This window comes from Homo sapiens, chromosome 9, assembly GCF_000001405.40.
Source record: "Homo sapiens chromosome 9, GRCh38.p14 Primary Assembly".
Classification (NCBI taxonomy): domain Eukaryota; kingdom Metazoa; phylum Chordata; class Mammalia; order Primates; family Hominidae; genus Homo; species Homo sapiens.
In genome coordinates, this window is record NC_000009.12 from 76,065,551 (window position 1) to 76,079,190 (window position 13,640).

Genomic DNA, 13,640 nt, shown 5'->3' on the forward strand with positions numbered 1-13,640 from the left:
TTAATCCCTGGTCAGACAGAGTTTGCCGGTATTTTCTCTCGTTATGTGAGTTATCTTTTCACTCTGTTAATTGATTCCTTTGCTTTGCAGAAGGTTTTTAGCTTTATATAATTGCATGTATCTATTTTTGCTTTTGTTGCCTGAGCTTTTGAGGTGTTACTCAAAAAAATCTCTGCTGAGACCAATGTCCCAAAGCATTTCTTCAATATTTTTCCTTCTAGTAGTTTCATAGTTTCAGGTCTTACATTTTAATTTGATTTCCATATAGGGTGCGAGGTGGATGGGGGTGGGGGGTAATAGTTTCATTTTTTATGTATGGATATCCAGATTTCCCAGCATTATTTATGGAAGAGCCTATTCTTTCCCCAGTATATGTTCTTGACACCTTTGTCAAAAGTCAGTTGGCTGTATATGCATAGATTTATTTCTGTGTTCTCTATTCTGTTCTGTTGGTCAGTGTGTCTGTTTTTATGCTAGTACCATGCTGTTTTGGTTTCTACACCTTTTAGTATATTTTAAAGTCTTCAGCTTTGTTATTTTGCTTGGGATTGTTTTGGCTATTTGGAATCTTTTGTGGTTTCATATGAATTTTAGGACTTTTTTTCCATTTCTGTGAAGAATGTAATTGGTATTTTGATAGGGATTGCATTGAATCTGTAGATTGCTTTGGGTAGTATGAACATTTTAGCAATACTAATTCTTTCAGTCCAGGAGCATGGAACATCTTTTCATTTGTTTGTGTTTTCTTCAATTTCTTTGATCCGTTTTTTATAGTTTTCATTGTGTAGTAATTGTTTCAGTCTTACAACTTTTATGAGTTTTGGTTATATTACTTTTTTGTGCTGTTAACAATTTGACAACATACTCTCTACTCTTTGATCCAGTAATTCTACTTCTAGGAATTCGTCCCAAGGCATAAAATGATGTCTGTACTCAAGATTGTTCTTCGTATTGTTGTTAATATTAGTGAATAACTGAGCAAAGTTCCAGGAAAAGAGGACTTGTTAAAAAGCTTACGGTGTGTATATATATAGACAGATACACACACACTACACAAACATTTATATATATCATTTAAGGAATTATGCAATACATTAATAACCATTAAGTAATATATAGATTAATGTTTAGAAAAATATACATAATATTACTAAGTGAAAAAAGCAGTATATATCTCTTTTATGTAAACTTGCATGTGTACCTATCAGTTGTAAGCAGTAACTTGATTATAGTTGCACAGAGAGTAGTGGTCTGAGGCAGCTGTGCTGTAAAATTAAAAGCACTGAAATGGATTTGGGGGCTTGAGTTTTAGTCACTGTTTTGCTAACTGTGCTACTCTCGATGTACCTTTTCGTATCTCTGGTCCTCCTAGATGCCCTCCTCTCTAAAAATGAGGGAAGGGATGGGCATTTAACTTCATTAGCAATGACAGATAAACCATAATGACTGTCACATCCCCCTTCTGCAGGCATGGCAGACATTAGAGGTCAGTCTTGGTGTTCTTTCTCTGGGCTCAGTCACGCTTTAGAATTCTTCCCAGCACACAGTTTTAGGCCACCGTTTCTAAGCAAATTGTACTTTATACTGAAAACTTCTTTGCCATCCTTGAAAGAGGATCTTAAAAGTTCTTTCAGCTAAAAGATGTCTCTAATCAAGGCACAAAATTATGGTGACAAAATAACAGAGAATGCTTTTTCTGTAAATAATTTTTTTAATTTTCTAGTATCCACATTTCTTTTAAAAAGTAAAAAGGTAAAAACAAGTAAAATAAGTGTGGATAACATATTTTATTCAATAAGATATTTTAACATGTAGCTGGTATAAAACAATGATTAATAAGATATTTTACCTTTTCATTTTTGCATACAAAATCTTTGAAATCCACTGTTTATTTAAAGCACATCACGTTTCTGCTAATAAATTGTTATTGGAAATACTTGATCTGTATTTAAATTTACAATTTAAAAAGCAGATTCTCATACCCATCTTAAGTTTTCTAATAATTGATTTGAGTATTAGTTCTTAAGCTTAAATAAAAAATTGAGATAAGGTTGCAGTAGTCACATTTCAAGTATCTGGTAGCACATATATCCAGTGACAACTATGTGGATCAGTAGAAGTTTGGGGGATATAGAAACGAAGGTTTTCTAACTTTTAGCTTTCAAGGAGATTGTCCGGTTGGGAAAGCAAGATATGAAAAATAAATATGTCAAGAATATAATCCAAAACAATCTAATTAAGTGCTAGAAGTTTGCCATGGACAGACAAAGTGCTACTTGGGAAGGAAGTTCCAGAAACACCACAGCTGGGTACATTCTTCACCACTCTGAGTGGTGGCAGTGACGCGTTGGCTTTGTGAGAATGGTGTGTCTTACTTGAGAAAGTGTGTGTGTTCTGCCTGCAGGCATGGGACTCGCTGTGCTGGAGAAGTGGCAGCCGCTGCAAACAATTCGCACTGCACAGTCGGAATTGCTTTCAACGCCAAGATCGGAGGTATGGGAAACCAACTCACGTGGATGTAGAAATGCGCCAGTTAGCTCTTTGGCTGACTGGCTTTCAGAATCCTTTTTAAATGGAGGTTAAACGATTGGGCATATCTCTACCTAATAGTGTTCAACTATTGCTGGCCCCAACATGACCATGTTAGCATGCGCCTTTAAATACATTTAGTTAAAGACTTCTGAAGCAGTCACCCTAAAATATTGTAAACACTTTTCTTTTAAACAGACTTGAAAAAAATGTTATCTAGTAGTGAAGATGGGGGTCATTGACATTTGTACCAAAATGCTACAATTGGTGCCTGGGTTAGAACGAACTAATAATATAAACATTAGGCCATAATATCTCTATGGAAAGAAGCATTTTGTAATTCTCTCAAAGTGGAAAATCCTGGTTTTTTGTTTTTGTTTTTTTTCCTTTGGCTTAGGCTTTTAAAAAGTTCCTTTTAATTGTAATTAAAATGATATATGGCAAAAATCTCCTTTTGTAATCCCATAATATAGTGATACTATTTCCATGAATGATTCAGATTATATCTATATGCAGGCATGTATACGTAAAAACTCAATTATACATACACTTACTATAAGGACCCAGCCAAAGCAGTATAAATTTAAGCATTGATAAAAGCAAACTCTTAACTTTCCCATTTGTAATCATCTTTGTAAGCAACAGCCTGGTGCCACAGCCACACACAAATGGGAAGAAAATATTGTAATAGATTCTATGGATCCTCATGATTTTATCATTATGCCTGAAGGTATTCCCTAGGGGTCTCCTAAGAGCGTCATAAGATGAATGAAGCTCCTGGAACCAGATTGACCTCCTTGTTTCCAATGCATTATTTGTTTTCAAGTGGGAAATAGTGTTAGAACTAAAAAATAAAAATGACAATTCTTTCTAGGATAGGAATATAAATATAGAGATTCCCTAACATGAAATATTTAAGGTATACAATAATAGAACTAAGAAAAGGCTTTCTGAAACTACCTTGAATATTGGTCCATAGTGCATTTGACCTCTTTCTTTCCTTTTTCTCACCCTGAATTCTTATGAGTATGATAGTTTGTTAAGCAGTAATTAATTAGCGGGGAGCATCTGCTATTTATTAAGCACAATGCATATGAAAGAGCTAAAGAAAAGAGGCAAAGAAAAAAATTCTTCGTTCCCTGAAGAATGATGAGTTTTGGAGGCCCCTCATCATCCCAAGAGAATTATATCAGAGGCGGCCAGGTCAGCCCTTCTCATGGTCCAGGATATAGTTTCTCGCATACACAGACACACAGCCCCAGGTTCTTATCAATACTCTCCAGCACAAACCCAGAAATCTTAATAATTTTTAAAAAATGAGAGGATGAACTTGTGAACTCACAGATAAACCAATGACCTAGCTTACAGAACCTTATTTAAAAAAAAAAAAAAGGATATATGGCAACAAATCAAAAATGTTCTACAACAAGAACATTCTGAATAATAAATTTAACCCCCATACCCAAGGCATGAAGGCTTGGAGTTAAATGAGGAAAAAGCAGCCTTTTATCTTTAAACTTGACAAAGTAAAATTCTTTTTTTGTGAAATTTCTATTAGAAAATGAACATCACCCTCTAAGTATGATTTACAAGCATTTTTTCATGCATGACATAGAAACTGAATTCAAGTGTTATGTCCTACTCTCCTGTTGGCATTTAGAACACTAGTGAGCTTATTTGGGGCAATTACTGTGTTTGTTTCAGACCTCATTGTACCAATAAAATAGTTTCATTTTATGCTTTTCAATAGAAAGTAAGAGGATGGAGTCGTTCATCTTTCTTTGCTAAGAAACATGCAGACAAATTTTGAATATTTAAATTAAATTAAACCAGTGTTACTCAGGATGCAGTACATCGAGATCATTATGTAGGGTTTTTTACTCACACCATGGACAAACTTTCCAATTTCCATTCCAATTTTTTTTTTTTTTTTTTTTTTTAGACGGAGTCTCGCTCTGTCACCCAGGCTGGAGTGCAGTGGCATGATCTCGGCTCACTGCAAGCTCCATCTCCTGGGTTCATGCCATTCTTCTGCCTCAGCCTCCCGAGTAGCTGGGAATATAGGTGCCCACCACTGCGCCCGGCTAATTTTTTGTATTTTTAGTAGAGACGGGGTTTCACCATGTTAGCCAGGATGGCCTGGATCTCCTGACCTCGTGATCCACCCGCCTCGGCCTCCCAAAGTGCTGGGATTACAGGCGTGAGCCACCGCACCCGTCCCCAAAATTTTTAATGGAACTTGTTCACAGCTTTCATTCTCCACCTCTCCTGTTAACACACATCTCCATTAAAAATTCAAGAGTCTAGAAGAAAGACAGTCAAGAGACATTAACAACCAAATGCAATGTCTTTAGAGATACATGGAGGGGAATGGAATGTTGGCTAGATGTTAGATGGCAGTGGGAACTTATGTCCCTATTTTTTGTAAAAATTTTTAAAGGATAAAGGGTCACATCTGTCATGGAATTTAAAATGGTTCAACCTAATATTTATATTTTTGGATTAAGAAAATGAGACAAAATGTTAACAGTTATTGAGTAGTGGCTATGTATATATATGTTCATTCTTCGTTCTTTCTATTTTTCTTTGTTTGAAAGTTTTATAATTAAAAGTTAAACATAGTTCCTTCAATAATATTTTTATTTCTACCAGTATTCCCACCTCAGTTCACATAGTCTCTATCTAAACCTGTTTGATGTGGGTTTTTATTATTTAATCCCCGTTTGTTGATAACCAATAAAAACTTAAAATCCTACTGATGACAAGGTTTTCCTAAGGATTAAATTTGGCCTGTAAAAATATAATTTTTAAATGATACAGTGTTTCAGTGATGGTGTTTAATTTAAACTGAAGGAGAGATATGTTTACTTAACAATTAGATGCTTGGTTGTGGTTGTTTTTATGAGCCTCCAAAATAGAAGGAAAAAAGGAAAGCCTGACATTTGGCATAGAATTTATTTCTGAGTATCTTAATGTCTCTTTTTGCAAAATAGGGTTAATAGTAAATTCCTATCTGTTTGATAGAAATATACTTAAATGAAGATTAATAACTAAACATTGCTAAAAACCCTTTGAGAATTATTTGAAATGTTACATCCACAGAGATTATTCTTATTTATTATTTGACATAAATAACTTAGCAAAAAAAGAAACATGAAGTTCACATCAATCTTATGATTAGGGGCTAATATTAAATATGGAGGATACGAGACCATCCTACCTTGGCAGCTTTCCAAATAGTATATGACTGCTAAGGTTAGATAGAATGTTTTATATCAATTATGAACACAAGTTATTCAATAAAGAGTTTAAGGGAGATGGATTGCTTGAAGATCTCTTTGTCAAGTACTCACTCAAGAGAGGGATGAGAAGGGAGAGACTGTGGCAGCTGTTATAAGGAAAGGAACCTTAGAAAAAGAAAATGGATTAAAAAAATTGAAGTTTTGCTCTTTTATATACAATATGACATCCTTTCTGCCCAAGATACTGCCTGCAAAGTATACATTATCCTTTTGCTGGGGGAAGATATGCTCACTTAAGTGTTGATTAAAAATGTATTCTTCCCCCCGAGAATCCTGCAGCTCTGTTCTTTGAGTGTTGTGTAGGGAAGCCCTGTAATGAGCTAGTTCTCCTTTCTGTGTTGAAGGAGTGCGAATGCTGGACGGAGATGTCACGGACATGGTTGAAGCAAAATCAGTTAGCTTCAACCCCCAGCACGTGCACATTTACAGCGCCAGCTGGGGCCCGGATGATGATGGCAAGACTGTGGACGGACCAGCCCCCCTCACCCGGCAAGCCTTTGAAAACGGCGTTAGAATGGTAGGTTTTAAAAGCATGGAGGCTTATACTGTGTGGATGGGTGATGATTCTCATATGAAGAATCTATGGGTTTCCAGCTGCAGTCTAGAGAACTGGATGGAGCTCCTAGGCTGAGCCAGCAGGTAGGCTAATGGAAAGAGGTGGTGAACATTTGGGATTGTGAGTTATTTCTGTTCTGCCAGTGAACTAAGAGCTAGAGAGTTTCTTCTGAAGAGAACAGAGGTATGTTACAGTGCTTAAATTCTTTCAAAGAAAATATATTAATACGTTAATCTTGCATTTGGAGAAATAAATTCTTAGGACTGTGAAATTGAGTGAAGATATTTAACACTCTCCAGGTAGCGTGAATACATTGCATAGTGATGCCCCTTGGGGCATCTCCCTTTTTTAATACTTTCCCTAGTTTCTCTCACCTCTGTCCCAGGACAATATTATTTGTGTTCCAGCTCCTGATCGCTACAACCAAGTAGCTTAATGCATCATTCTTTTCCTTAATTACACCAAAAAATTGATTGACCACTCTCCCACAAAAAACTAACCATATAATCTAATGTAATAAAATGTCTATTTCAAATTACAGATCTTAAGAAACCCTGTCTCATTTAAATTAAATTTTAAAAGTGAGGATACTAATCTTTGTAATCATGAAAGGAGGAGAGCTCCACCAGAAGTAATGTCTTTTTCTTATTCATGAATGGACCTTTGGGTGATTTAAAGCATACAGTTAGTCTTGTTCATTTAAGGCCATTATTGATCTGGCCCTAACCTGCCTTTTCTTCTCCTCTCTTTTACTCCTTATAATGTAGACGTGCTCCACTCCTATCCATCAGCACAGAACGCTTTCCTTGTTCCTCCTGCATAGCTCCCGTGCCCCATCCCCAAGTCCTCCCACTGTAAGCCAAATCCTGTTTGACCATCAAGCGCCAGCTAAAAAAGGTTCACGTCTTCCCAGAAGCCTTCTCACTGCCCAAACTGGAATTAACTATAAACAGCCCCTACCTATGCTTTATATTCTTACTAGCGTTACATAGAGTTCTTATCATATTGTGCTTTATATCAGAGTTAGTTCTGGGTATATCTTCCTTACTAAATTGCGAGTTCCTAGAGAGCAGCACTTGTGCTCCACACATCTTCATGGGCTTTGCAAAACCTAGACAGTGCATTGCATTCTAGTGAGTATTCAATGAAAGTTATTGAATCAAATTTAATTAACTACAAATGATGCGAACCACAGGGTTGTTAAATATCCAGCTCAGATACTTACAGTGGAATGCATTGTTGATTAATGTAATGTTGCAGCTGGAGTAAAAATAATAACGATTTGCCCACATCTTCGTGGGATTTTTGTTAGGGTTTTAATAGAAGACTGTGCTAAGCTGTCTTCTAATTATTCAGAAATAGACTGGAGGATAAAATTATATACTTATTTTGTAGGTACTTCCTAGCTGAATGATAGTTCAGGTTTGGTTAAAACATTCACTTTTTTTAGCTCTTTGTCAATTTTCAGCTTCCTATATTAGAGTCTTTTAAACCTTAGGTAATGTTTTAACTCATTGTCTAGAAGTTTTCTTTCAAGGTGCCTTAACAGCAAATGAATATATTCTATGTAATCTGGTGATTTCATTACTGAAGCCACAGACTACAAATTGCTATGATCTCTATGTTTTCAATAGAATGATCATTCAAATTCAGTAAACCAAACACTGTTCATATTTAATCATAAAATTATATGTATATGGCTCTTATAATAAAGAGCAATCTGGACTTTCTCATTAATCTGAAAATACTTAAATTAGTAATACACATAACCTCATGAATGCGCATATATATATATAAAGAATGCCCCATATTCAATAGCTGGTTTTACTAACAGACTAGTAGGCGTGTCACTGAAGCAGAACACATGAACCAACAATTTTCAAATTTATTTTTGCTGGGGAGTCTTTCATTCAGTGGAAATCTTAACTGGAAGCTTAGTGTGTAAAAAATTAAAAATATGGTACTTTGGTTAAAAGAAGAGTAAAAAGGGGTTAAGATTAGAAACAAAATCACCTGAGAAAATTATTCCAACACATGAGGAAGATTATATTTAGAAATAATTTGGAGGAAATTTACTTTATATTCATTATTAATTATGAAAGTAAACTATGCTTATTGGATAGATTATACACAAATGAGTGTAAAGATGAACTTAATAGATTTCCCCACCCAACTGGGTAACCACTGTTAAGAGTATAAGCTACATGTTTCCATACTCTTGTGCATATTAACATGCAAACAGAGATTATATACCTCTGCACATTACTATTTGAACCTAACGGTCTACCCTAGGCATCTTTCTGGGGCAACCCTTAAGAATAGAACTCATTTATTTTATTTGTTTCAAAATTTTTAGAGTATAGAGATACCATAATTAATTCAACATTCCATTGAAGATCTTCCAAGGTTTTACTTAGGGAAAAAAAGGAATTCAGTTTTAAATCAAACCATTTGCTTTTAGAGTTGAGGTAGTAACAAAAGAAATAACTATCAATAAGAACAGATTGTTTTTTGGCTCATAGCATTGCACATCTAAATATGGAAAAACTGTGGTGATGCATTTAAATGTGATGAGGTCAAGAAGATAGTGTTTTCATGTGATGAGGTCAAGAAGATCGTGTTTTCATGTGTTTAATACAAATAGGCTTTCAGGTTAGGCTAGGATTGAGTCCAATATTTGCCATTTACTTCTCTCTAACCTTATGTAGATCAAATTACCTCTCTGCTTCCATTTTCTCATCTAAGGTAGGGCACTAATAGTACTCACAGAGATGTTATAAATGCAAAATGAGATGATAATGCATATAAAGCAACTAGTATAATACCTGCAATATAATAAATGCATTTTATTTTTCAGAGAAAAGATCATGTCCTCCTATAAAACTATTTAAATTTGTCCTCAGTCCATCATCCTTCTCTCCTATACCATTTCCACAGTGCCTAGTTCCTGATAATTCCAGTAAGTTACCTGTTGGGGTAGATTAAAAATAATATGATGCAGGCCGGGTGTGGTGGCTCATGCCTGTAATCCCAACACTTTGGGAGGCCAAGGAGGGCGGATCACCTGAGGTCAGGAGTTCGAGATCAGCCTGGCCAACATGGCAAAATCCCATCTCTACTAAAAATACAAAAATTAGCTGGGTGTGGTGGCGGGTGCCTGTAATCCCAACTACTCAAGAGGCTGAGGCAGGAGAATCGCTTGAACCCAGGGAGTGGAGGTTGCAGTGAGCCAAGATCACGCCACTGCATTCCAGCCTGGGCAACAGAGTAAGACTCCGTCTCAATAAAATAATAATAATAATAATAATAATATGATGCAAGTCAACGTAGCCTTCCTGAGCTCTGTAGTGTCATTTATTTTGTTCTTCCTATGTCTGTACAAACCTTCAATTTCACTTGCCTTTAAAAGCGTATCTTCAATTTCAGTGAGATAGCCTCTGGATATGTAAATTCAGTCTAGTTATCCGTGTTTGTAGTCCTGAATTTTGTTTGTATTTTCCCAAAGGATGTTCCTCTAAATATCTATTAATATATAATTTAATATTTTAAGCAGTATATTTCTCTTTTCCAGGTTAAATAAATCTTTCTTGGGGCATCAAGTGAGACAGGAAATTTTACATTCTTTGATAGTATTATCATTTGTATTTTTGTGTCACACACATTGTCAAAGATAAAGAAAATAATTGAATAAAAACTTAATACAATATTAGATTATAGGGTACAACAAAGAAATAAATGTGATTTATTGGCTTAATTATTTAAGGAATGAAGAAATAAATGACTGATAAAATAATTCCTTCAGTTAGCTGGCTGAAAACCTATGCAGCAGCCTAAAGTCATTCTGGCCTATTGGGGTTTATCATCTACAAAAATGTAGGGATTGGAATTTATTTATTCATCATATTAAGCTTAGCGAGCTCCCACTTTCTATATGCTGTAGATAAAGGGGTGAAAAAGACGTCTGCATCTTCTATGTAATACATAAAAGTTCCTACATTCTAGCAACAAAACAGGAAACAAGGATAGAAATAATCAAGACTATTTCAGCTCAGGGTAAGTGTATGAATAAAAGTAAAGTGATTTCTGCTGAGGGAAAGCACAGCTGCCTTAGTTAGGGAAGACAGAACATCCTCTTTGAGGAGGTGATATTTGAACAGAGACATAAATGATAACAAGCCCATCATATGAAGAACTATTATATGCAGAAGGAACAGAAAGAGCAAAGAACCCCAGGTAGGGAAAGATTTAGGTGTATTTCCAGAACACAATACTAATGTAGGTGCTGGGGGCAAGGTGGAACAGGAAGAGGGCCAAGGGAGATGTGTTGGAGGGGAAGGCAGGGGCCAGCTCAGCAAGGCTTTCTAAATCATGGTGGGCCTGTGAATTGTGTTCTGTTATAGGAAGCCATGAAAGACTAAACAGAATTGTGGCCTGACCTTATACAATTTTAAAAGATCACTGCTGTGTAAACAGTAACTGTATGTGGGGTGAGAGATGAAGAGGCATGACTGGAAGATTGAAGTGGTCCAGGAGAGTGTTGGACCAGGGTGGCAGCAGCATCAAGACCATCAAAGAGATCAGGCAGCAATAGATAAGCCCAAGTATCAAGAGAGATTTTCACAGAGGAAATAAATACATTTTGCTCAGGGAGTCCAAGTATTGATTGCATCCATTCTTTCTGCAAGCTAATGAAAAAATGTAGCAAATATTGAATTTCAAAATGCTCCCTACTTGTTTACTATAAGATAAGCATTTGGCTCAAAGAATGTAATACTGTTTTCAGAGACTTTAACAAATCAGAATTGATTCAATTTATAGCCCTTTTAGAATTAATGTGGCAAAATTACATTAGAGAAACTATGTTAAACAAACCTTGTCACAGTTGACAATGTGCTCTTTCTTCTAAGGAGCTATAAAATTAAGTGCAAGAGTTAGAGTTATATAATTTGGGCTGCATACAATTAATAGTAATAATAATAATAGCAACATGAATATTTAACATTTTACCCAGTTTATTATACTATAGTCATCTTCTGGGACTTAAAATAAATAACATTTAATCTTCATGATGATCTCAAAAGATAGGTACTGTTTTTCCCAATTTATAGGGAGAAAAAACAGAAATTCAGCCTAGCCAAAGAAGACAAAACATAGGCTTCAAAGAAATCTGGTAAATTCTGTTACATGTTGTCATTTTGATTTTATTTGGCACACCTGACCTTCCATCTTTATCTGTGGCCACATACTCTAGCTTTTCTTCTGTTACTATGGTGAATTAATCGTTCATCTTCCACCTAAGGCCACCTCCTCCATTTGTTCACTGGACCTTACCCCATGTCACCCCATCAAAGTTCTGCCTCAAAAAAATTGTTTTATCATCAAAATTTCTCTCTCAACTCTATTGTTACCATCAATATCCATTTGTACTGTTCATCCTCCTGTCTTAAAAGAACAAGAGGAGACTCCTTCTTTGGTCTTTTTAAAAATAATCTCAACTTTATTTTAGATTCAGGGGTACATGTGCAGGTTTGTTACGTGGGTAAATTGTGTGATGCTGAGGCTCACCCAGGTAGTGAGTATAGTACCCAGCAGCTAGTTTTTCAACCCATCCACCCCTTCCTCTCTCCCCTCCCCATAGTCTGCAGTGTCTGTTGTTCCCATCATTATGTCCATGAGTACCTAATGTTTAGCTCCCACTTATAAGTGAGAGCATGCAGTATTTGATTTTCTGTCCCTGTGTTAATTTGCTTAGGATAATAGCCTCCAACTGTATCCATGTTGCTACAAAGGACATGGTTTTATTCTTTTTCATGGCTGTGTAGTATTCCATGGTGTATGTGTACCACATTTTCTTTATCCAATCCACCATTGATTGGGCACCTAGGTTGATTCCATGTCTTCACTATTGTGAACAGCACTACAATGAACATATGAGTGCTTGTGTCTTTTTGGTAGAACAATTTATTTGCTTTTGGATACATACCCAGTAATGGAATTGCTAGGTTGAACGGTAGCTCTGTTTTAAGTTCTTTGAGAAGTCTCCAGACTGCCTTCCACAGATGGTATCCTATAGTGGTTTTGATTTACATTTCTCTGATGATTAGTGATGTGGAAAATTTTTTCATATTTGTTGTCTGCATGTATGTCCTCTATTGAGAAGCGTCTGTTCATGTCTTTTGCGCATTTGTTAATGGGGTTGTTTTTTGATTGTTGAATTGTTTAAGTTCCTTATAGATCCTGGATATTAGACTTTTGTTGGATGTGTAGTTTGTGAATATGTTCTCCCATTCTGTAGGTTATTTATTGATAATTTCTTTTGCTGTGCAGAAGCTTTTTAGTTTAATTAGACCCAACTTATCAACTTTTGTTTCTGTCACAATTGCTTTTGAGAACCTGGTCACAAATTCTTTCCCAAGACCCATATCCAAAATGGCATTTCCTAGATTTTCCTCTAGGATTCTTATAGCTTGAGGTCTTACATTTAAATCTTTAATCCATCCTGAGTTAATTTTTGTATATGGTGAAAGGTAGGGGTCCAGTTTCATTCTTCTGTATAAGACTAGCCAGTTATCCCAGCACTATTTATTGAATAGGGAGTCCTTTCTCTATTACTTATCCCAGCGCCATTTATTGAATAAGGAGTCCTTTCTCTATTGCTATTTTTTTGGTTGACTTTGTTGAAAATCAGATTGCTGTAGATGTGTGGCTTTATTTCTGGATTCTCTATTATATTTTATTGGTCTACATGTCTGTTTATGTACCAATGTCATGCTGTTTTGGTTACTGTAGGCTTTTAGTATAGTTTATACCAAGTAATGTAATGCCTCTGGCTTTGTTCTTTTTGCTTAGGATCACTTTGGCCATTCGGACTCTTTTTTGGTTCCATGTGAATTTTAGAATAGTTTTTACTAGTTCTGTGAAAAATGACATTGATAGTTTGTTAGGAAAAGCATTGAATCTATAGATTTCTCTGGGCAGTGTGGCCATTTTAACAATATTGATTCTTCCAATTCATGAGCATGGAATGTTTTTTCTATTTGTTTGTGTCATCTCTGATTTCTTTTAGCAGTGTTTTCTCTTCTTCTTGTAGACATCTTTCACGTCCTTGGTTAGACGCATCCTTAGGTATTTATTATGTGTGTGTGGCTAGTGTGGATGGATTGCATTTTTTTTTTTAAATCGAGATGGAGTTCACCCTGTCACCCAGGTTGGAGTGCAGTGGCGTGCGTGATCTTGGCTCACTGCAACCTCCG

The 13,640-nt window shown here is 35.8% G+C and overlaps 1 protein-coding gene across 8 annotated transcripts in view; it reads left to right on the forward strand.

Annotated features, from left to right (window-relative positions):
- PCSK5 (proprotein convertase subtilisin/kexin type 5) overlaps window positions 1-13,640 on the forward strand; it is a 473,167-nt gene that overhangs the window by 175,742 nt on the left and 283,785 nt on the right. For all 8 annotated transcript variants that reach the window (NR_120409.2, XM_047423454.1, NM_001372043.1 and 5 more), the window contains exons 6-7: window positions 2,405-2,493; window positions 6,176-6,348. Coding sequence is in view for 7 of the 8 variants with exons in the window: in XM_047423454.1 (XP_047279410.1) it covers window positions 2,405-2,493; window positions 6,176-6,348 (262 nt within the window). In the remaining variant the exon portion in view is untranslated. The remainder of the gene's footprint in view (window positions 1-2,404; window positions 2,494-6,175; window positions 6,349-13,640) is intronic.